This window comes from Homo sapiens, chromosome 17 (assembly GCF_000001405.40).
Source record: "Homo sapiens chromosome 17, GRCh38.p14 Primary Assembly".
Classification (NCBI taxonomy): Eukaryota; Metazoa; Chordata; class Mammalia; order Primates; family Hominidae; genus Homo; species Homo sapiens.
The window spans coordinates 11,975,342-11,992,924 of NC_000017.11; the positions used below are offsets into that span (position 1 = coordinate 11,975,342).

General features: G+C 41.7%; 1 protein-coding gene across 11 annotated transcripts in view, besides 2 other annotated features; it reads right to left on the reverse strand.

Annotated features, from left to right (window-relative positions):
* Positions 965-1,524: an enhancer, noted in NCBI's record as "NANOG-H3K27ac hESC enhancer chr17:11879623-11880182 (GRCh37/hg19 assembly coordinates)". NCBI's record gives its function as "activates a minimal SCP1, AML or CMV promoter by ChIP-STARR-seq in naive H9 embryonic stem cells {active_cell/tissue: H9 hESC(naive)}" and the evidence as "EXISTENCE:reporter gene assay evidence [ECO:0000049][PMID:30033119]".
* ZNF18 (zinc finger protein 18) overlaps positions 2,098-17,583 on the reverse strand; it is a 44,089-nt gene continuing 28,603 nt past the window's right edge. For 6 of the 11 annotated variants that reach the window (XM_024450911.2, XM_024450909.2, NM_001303281.2 and 3 more), the window contains 6 exons: positions 17,102-17,570; positions 15,633-15,822; positions 15,121-15,209; positions 8,772-8,856; positions 7,956-8,066; positions 2,098-3,403 (listed from right to left, as the gene is read on the reverse strand). In XM_024450911.2, coding sequence (XP_024306679.1) covers positions 2,616-3,403; positions 7,956-8,066; positions 8,772-8,856; positions 15,121-15,209; positions 15,633-15,822; positions 17,102-17,488 — 1,650 coding nt within the window. In that variant the 5' untranslated portion in view covers positions 17,489-17,570 and the 3' untranslated portion in view covers positions 2,098-2,615. The remainder of the gene's footprint in view (positions 3,404-7,955; positions 8,067-8,771; positions 8,857-15,120; positions 15,210-15,632; positions 15,823-17,101; positions 17,571-17,583) is intronic. The other 5 variants (XM_047436649.1, NM_001303282.2, XM_047436648.1 and 2 more) reach the window with 1 other exon arrangement.
* Positions 15,950-16,604: an enhancer, noted in NCBI's record as "OCT4-NANOG hESC enhancer chr17:11894608-11895262 (GRCh37/hg19 assembly coordinates)". NCBI's record gives its function as "activates a minimal SCP1, AML or CMV promoter by ChIP-STARR-seq in primed H9 embryonic stem cells {active_cell/tissue: H9 hESC(primed)}" and the evidence as "EXISTENCE:reporter gene assay evidence [ECO:0000049][PMID:30033119]".

Consider the following 17,583-nt stretch of genomic DNA (forward strand, 5'->3'; position numbering starts at 1 on the left):
CACGAGCTCTCCCTGCTGATCGTGTCTGATTAATCTCCCAAACCTCAATCCCTTACAAAACAACAAACTCCTTTCCTTCCTAGGCATGGTTAATGCAGTCAGAATTCTTACACAAGAGCCAGGACCGCACCCTGTAGCCTTTCTGTCCAAACAACTTGACCTTACTGTTTTAGCCTAGCCCTCATGTCTGCGTGCAGCGGCTGCCGCTGCTTTAATACTTTTAGAGGCCTTTCCTACAAGGTCTGAGAAGGCCACCGTAGTCATTTCTTCCCTTCTGTCAGACATAATTCCTCAGTTTAGCCTTCCCACCTCTATACAGTCTGATAACAGACCAGCCTTTATTAGTCAAATCAGCCAAGCATTTTTTCAGGCTCTTAGTATTCAGTGACAGACTAATGGTCTATTAAAAACACACCTCACCAAGCTCAGCCACCAACTTAAAAAGGACTGGACAATACTTTTACCACTTTCCCTTCTCAGAAGTCAGACCTGTCCTCAGAATGCTACAAGGTACAGCCCATTTAAGCTCCTGTATAGACGCTCCTTTTTATTAGGCCCCAGTCTCATTCCAGACACCAGACCAACTTCGACTATGCCCCCAAATAACTTGTCATCCCTACTATCTTCCGTCTAGTCATACTCCTATTCACCATTCTCAACTACTCATACATGCCCTGCTCTTGTTTACACTGCCGGTTTACACTGTTTCTCCAAGCCATCACAGCTGATATCTCCTCGTCCTATCCCCAAACTGCCACTCTTAACTCTTGAATAAATAATCTTTGCTGGCAGGACTATGCTGAACCTCCATAGGCACTCTCTAATTAGATGTCCTAGGTCCTCCCAATTCTTAGTCCTTTTATACCTGTTTTTCTCCTTCTCTTATTCCACTTAGTTTTTCAATTCATACAAAACCGTATCCAGGCCATCACCAATCATTCTATACGACAAATGTTTCTTCTAACAACCCCACAATATCACCCCTTACCACAGATCTCCCTTCAGCTTAATCTCTCCCACTCTAGGTTCCCACACCGCCCCTAATCCTGCTTGAAGCAGCCCTGAGAAACATCACCCATTCTCTCTCCATACCACCCCCCAAAAATTTTCGCCGCCCCAACACTTCAACACTATTTTGTTTTATTTTTCTTATTAATAGAAGAAGGCAGGAATGTCAGGCCTCTGAGCCCAAGCCAAGCCATCGCATCCCCTGTGATTTGCACCTATACGCCCAGATGGCCTGAAGTAACTGAAGAATCACAAAAGAAGTGAAAAGGCCCTGCCCCGCCTTAACTGACGACATTCCACCATTGTGATTTGTTCCTGCCCCAACTTAACTGAGTGATTAACCCTGGGAATTTCCTTCTCCTGGCTCAGAAGCTCCCCCACTGAGCACCTTGTGACCCCCGCCCCTGCCCACCAGAGAACAACCCCCTTTGACTGTAATTTTCCATTACCTTCCCAAATCCTATAAAACGGCCCCACCCCTATCTCCCTTCGCTGACTCTCTTTTCGGACTCAGCCCACCTGCACCCAGGTGAAATAAACAACCATGTTGCTCACACAAAGCCTGTTTGGTGTTCTCTTCACACGGACGCGCATGAAACTCACTATACAGGCAGGACACTTTGAGGCATCTAACTTGTGGAGACAAGTACAATTGTACAGTTTAGATACATGTGTTAATAAACCACTAGAGAGTATTATAAACTAGATCAATGCTATCAATTTCTTCCTAACAAACACTCACAGACAAAATTAGACTATAACAGAGGTAATTTTAAAGCATAGAGCACACTTTGGCAAAAATGACAGCCCATGTGGGATGCCAGGAGAAAGGGGCAGCTTGAGGCAAGAGATCAAGTGGAAGGGTGGCTCAGAAAGAGGACACCAAAAACAAACTTACCTGAGATAAAGGTGTTGCCAGCACTGGCCAAGCTCCGATCGTCTGAACATTAGCCTAGGACTTTCCTATTACTGTTCTGCTACATTATGAACTTGAGGTTTATAGGGGCTGACTTTGGAGTTCAACTGCCTAGGGTCTTCTATGAAATAATGTGCTTTGAAATACAGTCAAACACACAGTGAACAAACAAATAAGATAGAAAGTGACTCTGCTAAGTTTATTTCAAACAAGGGACACTTGAAGTTAGTTTTTCACCCCTATGACAAAGAACACACGTGAGCTCACAGGCCCTCTATGCTTCTCCCCTTCTGGAACAGAAGACCTGCTCTAGAACTCATTTTAAGGGGCTGATCTGAGGTTCTTCCCATAAGCAGTGACTACAGCTAATCCCATTAAATGCTTCCCAGAAAGCACTTCTAAAACTGGATCTCCAATTTAGACTTTTTCCCCGATGGGTCCAAAGGAAGGATGAGTGGAAACATGAAGACTATTCTTTCTCCTGAGGCAGAATCAAGAATTTAAGCCATTGTGCAATCCAATCCAAGATATCCTCCAAGTCCAAAGCCATGTCCAGATTCTCTCCTCTCCAATCCAAGAAAAAAGGAGATTAACAGGGGTATCCTCTTAGACACAATTCCTCTTGATGGAGCTGAGTATTTTTGTGACTGGGCTGGGAGATAGAAATGGGGAAAGAGAGTTTGGTTACTGGCTATTGAAAGGGCTTCTTTCCTAAGTGGGATCTTTGATGTTTGTCAAGGCTCGAGCTCCAGCTGAAACTTTTCCCACAGTGCGAACATTTATAAGGTTTCTCTCCAGTGTGAACCCTCTGATGTCTATTAAAGTTTGATCTCTGAATGAAACTTTTCTCACAGATAGGACATTTATAGGGTTTCTCTCCTGTGTGGATTTTCTCGTGGTGGCGCAATCCTGAGAAGTCACTAAAGCCTTTCCCACAGTAATCACATTTACAGGGCTTCTCTCCCGTGTGAGTTCTCTGATGCTTCACAAAGTCTGAACTCCGCAGAAAGGCTTTTTTGCAGATGGTGCACTGAAAGTATGTCTCTCCGGTGTGAGTTCTTTGGTGAAAAATAAGCTGAGAATTCCTATAAAAGGTCTTCCCACACTCCCTGCAGGTGGGGAGCTTCTGGGCCATGGGGGCTCTTGGCTGCCCCTTCTGGGAGGTCTCTCTCTTCTCCTCAAGCCACATGGTGGACATTTCTCCTGAATGAGGATTAGGCAAATGCTGACCTAGTTGTTTCTCAGAAATCCTTTCTTGAGGAGACAGCTGTTCCCCTGTTCCCTCATCCTGAATGTTTTGCAGAGCCTCAGGGAGATTCTCTCCTTCTCCAAAGCATCCTGGCTCATCCTCAGTGAAGAAGCCCCTCAAGGAAGCCTGAGAAGGAACCTCTCCTGAAGCTTGACAGGAAGCATGCAGGAGCTCCTGGTCCCTGTGATTCTCCAAATTTAGGTTCTCCTTGTCATTCTCTTGTCTATCTCCTAAAAGAAGAAAGAAGATTTGAAATGGTTCAAGTGCTATGCCCTGTTTTCTAACTCATATGTCAAAGAGAGGGTCATCATAAAACATTCATTTTCTTTTTTTTTTTTTTTTTTTTTTTTTTAGGGCATTAGTAAGTGAGAAAGAAAACTACCATATGGCCCAAATGTTCAAACTCACTTCCCCTGTCCTGGGTTCAAGGCTAAATGGTTCAGCTCTGGAGCTGAGGATTTTTAAACAACACAGGAGTACTCATAAAGTGATCACTCCGTAAATAAAGCCACATGTATTTCTTAAGGACCAGGAAAAAAACAAGTATATTATAGGCAACTACTGCTTTTAAAGTGATTTTTATCTGATTATATATAAAAGATAAATATGGTAACTAAAAAAAAAAACTGAAGAGAGAGAAATATATACAGAAGAAAACCAAATCCGCCTCAATCTTACTACCCAGAGATAACAACTATGAGCATACATTTCCTTTCAGTCTTTTTAATTTAACCTATATGTATGCAGGTATATGCTATTTTCTGACATAATTTGTGTCATATTGTACATATAGTTCTATATCTAGCTATGGAGCATTTAATTGTGAATGGTGGCATTAATCAATGTAATATAGAGTCTCCCTCTCCCATTCATAAGACGCCCAAAATCTGTGAAATGCACGTGTCATTTTACCACAGCTGCAATGCAGCGGGGCTTTACTATAAAAGTGAATCCCTTGATCTGTGCTTGAATCTAGTATTTACATGCCCTTTATTAAATCACACTAGCAACTGGAAGTTTGTTTTTCTCATCGTAACTTGGGTTTTTGGTTATAGTACTTAATGATGCAAATAGAAAATTTTTATTTTGGTGGTAGGATTTTCAACTTTTATAAATTATTTTAACTATATAGATCTAAAGATGCCATTTACCTTTCTCTTTCACATATTAGTGTCTTTTCAATTGTCTGCCAGGGATCTAGACATCTTCTAGAGAGCTAGATCTGAACTTGTTAAGTCAAAAAGCCTTAGAATGTCCCTGAATCTAAAAATAAAATAAAATAAAATAAAAGCCTTAGAATATATTCCTCTCAAATGGCAAAGGTACTTTCTCGTGTTTTTAAAAAAGCCTTTATAAATATCATTTTAAAGAGCTGAGTAATGGCCCATCAAGAAGATGTCATAATAAACATATAATTTGTTCCCCTACCATGGAAATCTAATTTGCTTATTGTGTTTTTGCGACTACAAATAATGCTGTGATCAGCAGTTTTCTTCATAAGTTTTTGCCCACATTTCTCATCAATATCTCAAAGGAATTTCTCAAAGTAGAATTACTGTGTCAACGGGCATAAATATTAAGGCTCTTGACACCTACTGGCAACCCAACTTCCAGAACAACTCTGCCATCCTCTCATATGTGAAATTGGGCAGAGGGGGAAGTGGGTATTCAATACTTAAATATTGAATATTTTTAAACTTATGCCATTTAGATGGATGAAAAGTGGTTTTTCATTGTTTTAAATTTTAATTCTTAAGTTATGAAAGGATGAATCTTTATCACATTTATGAGCTATTTTTCATACTCGAAGACTGCTGCCCATATTTTACTGGGAAAGCACATTTTTCTTATCAACTTTCTTTAACTCTTTCTATATCAACAAAAATAATCATTTATCTGTCATGGTCATGAAAACTTTTTTTTTGAGATGGAGTTTTGCTCTGTCACCCAGGCTGGAGTGCAATGGCGTGATCTTGGCTCACTGCAACCTCTGCCTCCCAGGTTCAAGCGATTCTCCTGCCTCAGCCTCCCAAGTAGCTGGGATTACAGGTGCCCGCCACTATGCCCAGCTAATTTTTGTAGTGTAGTTAGATGGGGTTTCACCATGTTAGCCAGGCTGGTCTCGAACTCCTGACCTCAAATGATCCCCCCGCCTCAGCCTCCCACAGTGCTGGGATTACAGACGTGAGCCACCGCACCAGCCTGATCATGCTAAATTCTTATACAGACCAGCATCTCTTTTCTAGGCTCCCTTTTCTGTTCTATTGATCTGTGCATCTATTTTTATATCAGAATCACACTATTTTAATGATTTTTTACCTTTATAATACAACAGACAATATTTTCAGATCTAACATTCATGAAACATTCTTCTTTCAAAACATTTTTTTAAAACTATTCTTGCATGTTATATTCTTCCAGATAACTACTTTAAAAACTTTAATCCTTTGGATTTTTATTAGCAGGGTAAGTATATGGCTTTTTGAGACTGCCCCCTGCTGACCTGTTTTAACTAGGAGCTGTTCTTCCATATGGTCAACTATAACAGCATATTCACTCTCTATATTGACTTTTGCCCCTGATCTGAGTCCAGATTTGGTAAACTGGCAAACTGTTGTATTTTTCAAACCAGGCCTTTCCCATTTGGTTACTGTGACTTCCACAATTATTCTAGGTCTCCTCCCCGGACAGCCCGACTCCTGCACTGACTTCCTGCAGACTTCTCTCCTCCAAGTGTTCCCTTCCTATCTGTCCTACACGTTGCTGCCGGATTCATCTTCCTAAACCTCTTTCCACATATCCTCTTTTTTTTTTTTTTTTTTGAGACAGAGTTTCATTCTTGTTGCCCAGGCTGGAGTGCAATGGCGCGGTCTCGGCTCACTGCAACCTCCGCCTCCCAGGTTCAAGCGATTCTCCTGCCTCAGCCTCCCAAGTAGCTGGGATTACAGGTGCTCACACCATGCCCGGTTTTTTGTTTTTTTTTGCATTTTTTGTAGAGACAGGAACCTATAATAGCTTTTTTTTTTTTTTTTTTTGCCTATCAAGGCAGGATGACCCTTGTAGACTCCTCACATCTGGTTAAAGGCAGTATCTAATGGGACCATGTCAGCAGAGGTGGGATGAAGGAAAAACAAACAAACAAAAAACGAGTAGGAATATAGTGAGCTATATATAGCAAATAAGGTCAGACTACTAGGAGCTATATGGGAAATCTCTGCAGCTTCCATTCAATTCTACTATGAACCCAAAACTCGTCTTAAAAATAAATCCTGTCCAAAAAAAAATCCTACTGCAACAACCTCCAAAGCAATATTTTCAACCTTTTCTGACTACAACCCACTATAAGTTCTATGGACTAAACTGTGATCCCCCAAATTCATACGTTGAAACCCTAGCCCCCAGTATGATGGTATTTGGAGATGGGGCCTGGGGCCTTAGGGAGGGATTAGGTCTAGATGAGGTCCTAAGGGTGGAGTCCTCATGATGGGATTAGTTTCCTGTCTCCTCCTCTCCCTCTCTCACCTCCCCCTCTCCCAGTCTCTCCCTTCCTCTCCGCCTCTCCTCTCCCCAACCCCCCTCTCTGCTATGTGAAGACACAGCAAGAAAAGCGAGGTCAGCAAACCATACTGGCACCCTGATCTTGGACTTCCCAACCTCCAGAAATGTGAGAAATAAATGTTTGTTGTTTAAGCAACTTAGTCTATGGTATTTTGTTACAGCAGCCCAAGCTAAGGCAGTAATCGATATATTAATATTGAAACACAGTACATGCACACATATTTTAAACAAATATTTCCTGAAACACTACCCACCCCTACATCTGATATTTCCTCTTCAATCTTATTGTGTTTTTTTTTAACGCTGGTTGTAACTCTATCAAATGATTTCACGACTCACTAATTGGTTATGCAATGCAGTTTGAAAAATTCTGTTCCAGAAGAAATCCTTGTGAAATGGCCTGATAAATACGTTGTGTAAAATTAAAATCAAATATCTCAGCTAATGATTGCTCTCTCTGTGGTATATTAGCAAAAGAAAATAATTAATTAGATGCCACTGGGGAGAAAGAATGGCTTGCCCTACAATTCCCATCCTTGGTCCTCTTCTTCCTCTAAGGTTCTGGGATTTACTGTATATATAAAAGTGTGTGTGTGTGTGTGTGTGTGTGTGTGTGTGTGTGTGTGTAGGTTTCGCAATTAGTTTTTACGTAACTTCAATGTTTCAGAAAAAGTGTAGAAAGCAAAGAATGACTATTTTACAAGATAACAAGTTAAGATTTCTTCTTCCCTAGTCTTAAATAAATTATTTATACGAAGTATTTGTTGATGCTGCTGTTTTAAGAAGTGTTAGGTGCATAGGGATTAGATAAAACATTTTTTTCTGTTTGTTTTATGTCTAGATACTCTAACTTCTTGCTAGGAAGGGTAATAATGGCTGCTACATAATCCTTTGCAATGAAATTCTACTCTATTTGTATTGGTCTTAATTTGTGTGAATCTTAATTCTTTCAGAGAAAGAAAGCTAAAATAACAGACAAGATTAAAGGCAGCAGGTCTGATGTGTGGTCTTCCTTCCATAGTTAAATATGTGTCAACAGCCCTATAGCCAGAGATAAGTAGACTCAATCTCAATAGTTAAATCAAACCAATCAGATCATGGCTAGTTATAACCAACGTAATAGAATATTCTGCCTCCCCTGACCTCCTTCACCACCTCCCCAATCACCTCCAATTTAATGACAGGCAGTCAGAAATGATTCCAGACCAATGAAAGATTACTCACCTATGCAGGTGGGTCTTGGGATCTTCTCATTGACATGAAGGTATATTCCTGCCAGCTCTTCCCCAAATTCTATTGAATTAGTCAGGTCAGATTTGGGATGGGAAATGCCTGCTATAGAGAGAAAGATGTATGGTGGGCCTGGATGAATAGGGAAGACTGGGAGCTCAAGCTGTGTCTTTCAAAGGAGCACCCTACGCATGAGGGAAAATATGAAGGCTCTGGACACTTGCAGAAACTCACCTTAGAACAGTGTGTGGAGCTTGTAAGACACCAGTACTCACAGGATGACCTTGACAGATGGTAAAGGCCATGAAAAGAAGAGTCTAGGCAGGTGGACAGAAAGGTCTGTAGACTACCTGGCAGGCTGGTGTGAGAATCATGATGGGGATCCCACCAATGGTTGGTTGACAAGTGTGGTTTAGTAGAAAAGAGCATGGACTCAGAACCAGCCACAGCTGAGTTCCATCATAACTCAGCCCACTTATGAGCTATGTGGCAGTGGGTAAGTATTTGATCTGACACTCACTTTCATCAGGCTTAAAATGAGAATACCATCATCAATTTCATAGATTAAAGAAGTTACTCCGTGCAATGTACCCACAAACAGTTCCTGGCACACGGAATACTTTCAATACAAGGAAGTTCTTACTGTTAATTCTGCTAGCTCCAACTTGCCCCAGTTCCCAACTGTGTCCCTAACGATTTCTTTCACCTGGCGATTTTCAGTTCAGCAGATGTCTCTATAAGTGCATGGAAAATGCCTCACAGTTTTCCAGTCCTTCTACCTCCTTCCATCAGACTAACCCACACCCTCACCTCCTGAGACCATTTTCCCATAGGTCTCCAGCATGAGATCCCAGTATTGCTCCTTTTGAGTGGAATCCAGTTGTCTCCACTGTTCCTGGAAAAAAAAAAAAAAAAGCAATACAATACCATGACTCCAATGAAGGTGTTTGAACCTGCCTTCCCTGCCTAAAGGAAAGCTGAGAAGACAGAAACGTGCCATAGGATCCTGGCCATCGCAAGACCTGAGAAATCCCAGCAGAGTGGTTCAAGGGACAAAGAGGCCAAAGGGAAAACAACAGTCCCTATATCAGTGTTTCTTTCCTTGGTAAGAAAACATCTAGGCTTTACATTCTGCACCTCTTCAGGTGAATTATTTAAAAGTGGAGAACGTATAGAGGGCAGGAGCCTTTTCCATACTATTTGTTTTTATTTGGGTTTTTTTTTTTTTTTAGATGGAATCTCACTCTGTCGCCCAGGCTGGAGTGCAGTGGAGCAATCTCTGCTCACTGCAACCTCCACCTCCCAGGTTCAAGCGATTCTCCTGCCTCAGCTTCCCGAGGAAGCTTGGACTATAGGCACATGCCACCGTGCCTGGCTAATTTTTGTATTTTTAGTAGAGATGGGGTTTCACCATCAGGATGGTCTCGATCTCCTGACCTTGTGATCTGCCCGCCTTGGCCTCCTAAAGTGCTGGGATTACAGGTGTGAGCCACCTTGCCTGGCCGGTACTATTTGTTTTTTGTTTTTGTTTTTGTTTTTTAACTCAAGTGCTTGTACTAGACGTCTTTGAGGAGGAAGAGTCTGATAGTCCCACTATTTAATTAAAATCAGGAAATTCAAAAAGCAAAGAAAGAAGTTAAAAAGGAATCTGTTGGAAAAGCAAGTGCGAATCAGTAAGATGTAGTTAAGAGTCAACTGCATTGTAAGCTTCACCCTGAAACAAAGATTGGTATATTCAGAGAAGAGAGAGATGTTATAGCCATACTTGAAATATCTTAAAGTTCTGCATTTAGAGTCTAACATTAAATTAGTTTTCTTTCCAGATAGTGGAAAACTGGTAGGTTCTCTGGAGCAAGGTGTCCCAATCTCCAAAAGAAGCCCTGCTTTTCCTATGAAACGACAGACTGGAGACTCAAAACTGGGAATACCATACAGCTAGGGTCTGCTTTCATGAATTCAAATTTCAGTCTTCTACCAAGAAGCTGACTATTAGAAACTCAGATTGTATAGCAAAGGGATTAGCAGCCCATTTTTTGGAGTCAGACGTACTGAGTTTTAAGTCCCAACGTTGCCACTTTCTAGCTGTGCAACCTTGAGCAAGTTATTTAACCTTCCAGAGTTTCAGGCCTCACCTAATGATGGCACTGAACTCAAAAAAGTGTTGTGAGGTTTGAGATAAATAATGCAAGTGTCACCTGTTTTCATAGCACACTGTACTTTTTTTATTTATAGTATTTATCCATTTATTAACTATTTATGTGTATGTACAAATGTATGTGCACACATGTAAGTATTTGATTAACTGTTGCCTCTACTAGCAATGTAAGCTCCATGAGAAAAGGACTCTGTCATCCTCTCCATTGTATAATACCTTCCCAGTTCCCAAGACCCTGTCCAGGACAGAAGAGGCACTTGATATATGTTACCAGGGTGAAATAAAGCCCTTAGCAAACAGGTCCTCAGTAGATAATATATATTATTACCATCACATGCAGTCTCCCAGTCTCACCCCAAGGGTTTGCAGAGAGAATTAAGGGATTCTGCACACTTTCAGAAACCGCAAAGTGGATAGACATGAATAGCCAGGCTTCAGGGAATAGAAATGAGGAAAGGAACTACAAAGTCATCCTCCTACTGTACACAATATACTGTTTGGGGAAGGCACTCTCTGATATGATTTGGCTCTGTGTCCCCACCCAAATCTCATCTTGTAGCTCCCATAATTCCCATGTATTGTGAGAGGGACCTGGTGGGAGATAACTGAACCAAGTGGGCAGTTCTTTCCTGTGCTGTTCTCATCATAGTGAATAAGATAACATCCGATGGCTTTAAAAATGGGAGTTTGCCTGCACAAGCTCTCTCTTTGCCTGCCGCCATCCTTGAAAGATGTGACTTGCTCCTCCTTGCCTTCCACCATGATTGGGGGCCTCCCCAGCCATATGGAATTGTAAGTCCAATTAAACCTCTTTCTTTTGTAAACTGCCCATTCTCAGGTATGTCTTTATCAGCGGTGTGAAAACGGACTAATACACTCTCAGTCCTAAGTCAAGTCTGCCCCCTAGCACATCAAAGGGAAGTGGAAATGGCTCAAGGAGAAAAGAGATACCAAAAACTGTTCAATTAGCAGGTGCTAAGCCAAACACACAAACGAAAGAGGGTTTGGACTTTTTTGGGTGGGAAGGATAGGAAGCTGAAAAGCGACCTCAATATACTGAATTACACAGTCAACTATTAACTATAACCACATTTTTAATGTGAACTTTAATTTAAATTTTTTAATTTTTAAAGTATAAACAGCTAGCAGCTTATTCTGTTAATCTTCTGTGAATGCAGCTATTTTAACAACCTCCTGAAAATAATCACTTGAGCAAACATTGCTGAACACAGGAGTTCTCAGTCTTTGTGGTCAGAACACATGGACCTTGGCTTCAGTGCTAGCAGAGAAAAGGATGCACTTGCCAAGCACAGTAATATCTGCCTGGCTGCCTGGCTTGCTGACACAGGATCTATTCCATGAACACCAGAACAGTAACTACCAAGAAGAGTACAAGGCAGAAAAGGATACAGCCACCAAAACCCCCAAGGGTCAAAATCAGCTCACTCAAAAACCAGAAAAGTTGCTTCAGGAGCACTAACAGGGTACCTCCAGCTTAAAAACACAAATTTACTCAAGAAACTGCCAAGAAGCTGGGTACTTCGAATAAAACCTCCTACTGAAGAGGCAAGACGCCAATGGCAGCCAGCTTGCCTCTTTCTCATATTTAGAAGAGACGGAAAAACCTAACTTTCTATCCTGAAAGACAGACACATGGGATTTGATGGGAAAATTCTATTTTTGTGTGGAACTGGCACCATCTTGTGGGTTTATAAGATATTACAACTGACTTACACTTAGTTACACGCTGTTCCTTTCCTTTAAGTCTGAAAACAGGGGAAGGTGAGTAAATGCACTGCTGGAGTCTATGTGAGGTTCCAACCGAGTCATGGTTTCCACTAATGAAATAACTACTGTGTACTGATAGTAATACCGTATCATTATTCTGGCATTATTTATGAAGTTCCTCACTTATTTAAGAGATTAGAGGGAGTGATTAATTTAAAAATTCCTTTTACTTCCAAAGGATTCCATTAAATATCAAAGTCTTTCTGATGCAAATAATTGCTGTTAGTTTGGAGGGGATATTCAGATTGGGTAGGGACAACTTTTGTTCATTTGACTTAAATGGTTGCTAACTAGTTATCATCTGAAGGTAGGGAAATACAGACACACATATATATGTAAATACGGTTGTAAAAAACAAATTGGTGCTGATGAGCATTTTAAATCTTTTGACTTTAAGTTATCCAGAACAGGTGAGGATACTCTGTACCTACTACAGAAACAACAATAATCCTCCAAGCCTGGTTGACATATTCCACAGAACACCCAAATCTTTTTCACCAAGCAACATCTTGCTTAACAATTTGGTTTCTGGGCACCTTGAAAGCAGGCAGAAGGGTACCTTTGATTCACTAAAAAGATATTTCTCTCCCCTGCCACCTCCCCATCCACCTTCCCCCAGAGTAAACTATGAAATTGGTATTCTAGTTTTTATATATCTGAGCCTGGAGAGCTGAAGCTCAGACCCTGGTCTGAAACACAGCATTACCTACTGCCTTCTCTATTTTCATATTCACGCTACAGCAGATTGCAAGGCAAGTCCCAAGAGGAGTTCCTTCAACGTTTTAAATGATGTTTTAATTAAGATGTATAGGTTCGTGAAAAAAAAATTTTTTACAAAATACAACTTTTCAAAATTGTTAACTAAATATCAACATAAATCTGTCCCAGAGACTTTTATGTACAAGCAAAAATGAAGTATTAGGAATTGTTGAATTTACCTTCTGCCTGAAACAACTAAAAATGGGACAAAATGTATGAAACAATAGTTTTCAGACATTTCACATTACACAAGCAGAGCAGAACAAGATCCCTGAAAGTGGGAAAGCAAATTCAGTGAGCTCTAGTTATCCAAACTTACTGCCTAGACAGAGGATCCAGGCAGCAGCACAGGAAGGGAAACCCAGGCTGAGCCAGGCAGCCTCCCTGAGTTGAGCAGAAGGAGCTCAGAGTCTGGAAATGCCAAGATCCTTAGAATCGACAGGGTAGAAAAACTGGAGAGAAGGAAACTGCACAAAGAGAAAGCTCCAGAGATCTACAGAGCGTCCCCGCAAAGTCTGGAAAATAACCACCCAAAAGAATCAGAGGGAACAATCCCCTGAGTTCACACAGTGCTGGAAACAGTTCGTATTTCCACCAGGCAAAGTGGAAAACCTGGTATATGAAGGGGCATCAGATTACTCAGAATACTCAGAAGGGAAGTGCCTTAGCATGGAAAGAATAATCCTCGACTAAATGTTTCTCTGGTGCCATGTAATAAACTGTGTCCAAATAACTGCACCCCATAGCAAAGTTCAAGAACATTTATAGTAATACAAAAATATATAGCACCCCACCAATGTGATACCCAATCAAAGATTACCAGGCACGGGCAACATAGTAAGACACACAAAAATTTAAAAATTAGCCAAGCAGGCCGGGCATGGTGGCTCCCGCCTGTAATCCCAGCACTCTGGGAGACCCAGCTGGGTGGATCACTTGAGGTCAGGAGTTCGAGACCAGCCTGGTCAACATGGTGAAACCCCATCTCTACTAAAAATACAAAAATTAGTCAGGCATGGTGGCACACGCCTGTAATCCCAGCTACTCAGGAGACTGAGGCAGGAGAATTGCTTGAACCAAGAAGTCGGAGGTTGTAGTGAGCTGAGATCGCGCCACTGCACTCCAGCCTAGGCAACACAGCAAGACCCTGTCTCAAAAAAAAAAAAAAAAATTAGCCAAGCATTGTGGCACATGCCTGTAGTTCTAGCTACTCAGGAGGCTGAGGCAGGAGTATGGTTTGAGCCCGGGAGGTCAAGGCTGCAGTGAGCTATGACTGCACAACTGCACTCTAGCCTGGGAGACAAAGTGAAACCCTGTCTCAAAACAAACGAAAAAGACAAAGATTACCAGGCATACAAAGAAGTGGGAAAATACATCTCATAATGAGAATAATCATTGATCAAAACTGACCCAGAACCAATGCAGGTAGTAATCAGTAGATAAGGATATTAATACAAATACAACTATATTCCATATGTTCAAGAAGCTAGAGAAAAAATTGAACACATTAAGTATAGACATGAAAGATACAATAAAGCCCCAAATCAAACTTCTAGAGGTGAAAAATTCATCTAAAATGAAAAATATACTGGAAGAGATTAACAGCAGATTAGATGCTGTGAGATGAAAAGACTAATGAACTTAAAGACATCAAAATAGAAACTGTCCTAAATGAAACACCAAGACTTCAAAAACAGAATGAAAAATATACTGGATGAGATTAACAGCAGATCAGATACTATAAAAGAAAAGATTAATGAACTTGAAGACAAACAGAAATTGTCCAAAATAAAAGACCAAGACTTCAATAACAGAATGAAAAATATACTGGATGAGATTAACAGCAGATCAGATACTATAAAAGAAAAGATTAATGAACTTTAAGACATACAGAAATTGTCCAAAATAAAACACCAAGACTTCAAAAACAGAAAAACAATCAGTAAGCTGTGGGACAACTTGAAGAGCTCTGATACATGTATATACATTATCATTATACACATTCCACAGGTATTATTTCCCAAGTCCTTAAAGGAGAGGAGAAATAAGCGAGACAGAAAAAAAAATGCTTTAGAAATAATGGCCAAAAATTTTCCAAGTTTAGTGAAAACCATACACCCACAGAGCTAGGAAACTCAATAAATCCCAATTACATGAAATGTGAAAATGACTCCAAGGCACATCAAAATCAAATTGTTTTAAAAAATGAGAATACACTGAAATAAGCAAATATATATATATGTATATATATACACATTATATGCATAAGAACAAAGATAAGAGTACATTTGGCATGATTCTATTTTTACAAAACTCTAGAAAAAGTAAACTAACATATGGTGACAGACAGCAGATCAGAGGTTTCCTCAGGATGGAGAATGGGGTGAAGAGAAGCAGGAGGATGAGATTATAAAAGGTAAAAAGTTTCCTTTTCATCGCTTTTGTACGTCAGCTCACCTGAGGTGCTGCTGGGAGCAGTGAGGCTCCGAGGTCCTGGTCTCTGATCAGCCTTTCCTCCAGTCGGGCAGGCTGGGAGGCAGCCAGGGCTGAAGTGAGGAGAGGAAGTTTTCAGAATCTGGATGTCTTCCTTAACCACTCCCCAGAGGGCGCAGATAACAATCTTCACAAATCAGAACAATACCTGAACAATACCTGTACTGCCATCTATATTTCAAGACTTGTGTTTATCTCCCTGACACACTCCAACCCCCTCCAACATTCCAGTCTCACCCATATGTTCTCCCACCTCCTTCCTCAGAGCCAAAATCCAAATGGTCTGGCCCAGTCATAAAGCAGTTTAAAACACAGACTTTGACTCTCCAAACAAGAGCGGTTTATTTAGGTCTAACCTGTTTGCAAACCTCTCAGGGATACGCCAATCTGAGCAGCATACCATTTCAACTCACTTAGGCCTACTAATCACAATCCCAAAATCTCTCCAAGAGAACACCACACAGCACCATCCTCACCTAGTTCTGCTTCTGTGTCAGATTCCTCTTTCACGATGTGGCTCAGAAGCTCCCCAGGCCCTGAGGATGAATTCTCAAGTCCCAACTCCTGAGGCACCACTTCAAGATGGGGCTCCACTTCCCCCACTTGGCAGCTTGGAGATTCCATCTTCTCTGATAAGATGTCCTGTCCTAGAACCTGGATACTGATCTAGAGACCATATATTAATTAGTAATTACTGAAGAATCCAGAGTAAGGATCTCTAAAAGACACAAAGCTTACTCTCTACAACAGATCATAAGACAATTTCTAAGGATGTGGAGAAAGAGAAAACCAGCTTTTATTTCTAGTCCAGCAGGAACCAGGGAAAGAAACGTCCCAAAAGACACCAAAAGCTGAGGCCCGAATCAGGCGTGGGAGACCTTCAAGACATGCCACTAACGTGCTTCTACTGGATATGCGCCACCAATGAAAACTCAGGCATCTTTTAAATAACTTCTCAAACATTCTAGTCTAAAGGTGGAATGCGCTGGGAGACTTTACCCTCAATCCTCAATAGCTAAAGAGTGTTGAGAGTCAGAGAGTGTTAGAATTACGTGAGGTATGGGGGAACCCAGCTGTGGTATAATAAGAAATACACATTTAGTCTTTGTCCCCAGTTCCCATTCCCGCAGAGCTCCTAAAACCCTGGTAATTTCTTGAGGGACAGGTGAAAGAAGAGTCTTTGTTATTCATAAGGAGCCCTTCTCAACCACACCTGAGTTTATGCTAGGCTCCTAGATAGCTTCAGGATGGGGGCTGGTTGCCAGAGGAACCAACCTTGAGATTAAAAGGTTGGAACTTTCAGTATCTCCACCCAGCTTCTGAGGAGGGGAGGGCAGCTGGAGATACTCAATCACCAACGGCAAATGACTGTATCAAGTGTGCCAAAGCAGTGAAGCCTCCATAAAAATCCCTAAACCATGAGGTTCAGGAAGCTTCCAGGTTGGTGACCTCATGGAGGTACTGGTAACGTAGCACGCCAGGAGAAGCATGGAAGCTCCACGCTCTTTCCCCCACACCTTGCTCTATGCAGCTCTTCTCTCTGGCTGTTAATGAGTTGTATCCTTTAGAGTAAGTCAGTAACAGGAAGTAAAATCCTTCCCTGAGTTCTGTAAGTCATTCTAACTAATTATCAAACTTGAAGAGAAGACTGTGGGAACCTCCGAATTTATAGCCAATTTGTCAGAAGTACAGGTGGCCCCTGGGACTTGTGACTGGCATCTGAGAACAGGAGCAGTCTTGGATTGAGCCCTGAACCTCCAGAGTTAGCTTCAGAACTGAATTGCTGGACACTGTACTGGTGTTAGAGAATCACAGAATTGGCCATTGGTGTGAAAAGCCCCACCCATTTTGTGTCATAAGTGGTATCAGAAAAAAGACAACACACCTGATGGGACCAGAGAGGAGCCCTGTGTTTCACTCGCAGATCATAATACCCTCTGCTTACCCATTGCCACAGTCTCTGGGGGTCCCCCTTCAAGCTTTCCACAAGGGTCACTGCCTCTTCTCCACTTCCTGGACACTGTTTCCGCACCCACATCTGGATCTCCCCAGGCAGGATGGTCAGAAACTGCTCCAACATGAGGATCTCTAGGATCTGCTCTTTGGTGTGAACCTCTGGCTGTAGCCACTGGAAACAGAGCTTCCGAAGTTGCTTCAAGGTCTCATGAGGCCCAGACATCACCTGGTAACGGAACTGCCTGAAAAGCTGGCGTGCGGTCTCAGGGCTGGAGAGTTCCTCTTGAAGGGCAGCATCTGATTCTGAGAACTGGGAGTCCTCGGCCTTCGCCAGCGATGGCAGCAGGCCTAGGGCCTGCCCCAAGTCAACGGGCATTGTCCAGCCTGGCAAGTCCTTTTAAGTAAAGTGCTTCTGCAGTGGAATTGTCTCCGGCAAGAACTAGGTCTTCACCAGGACACTAAAAAGGGAAT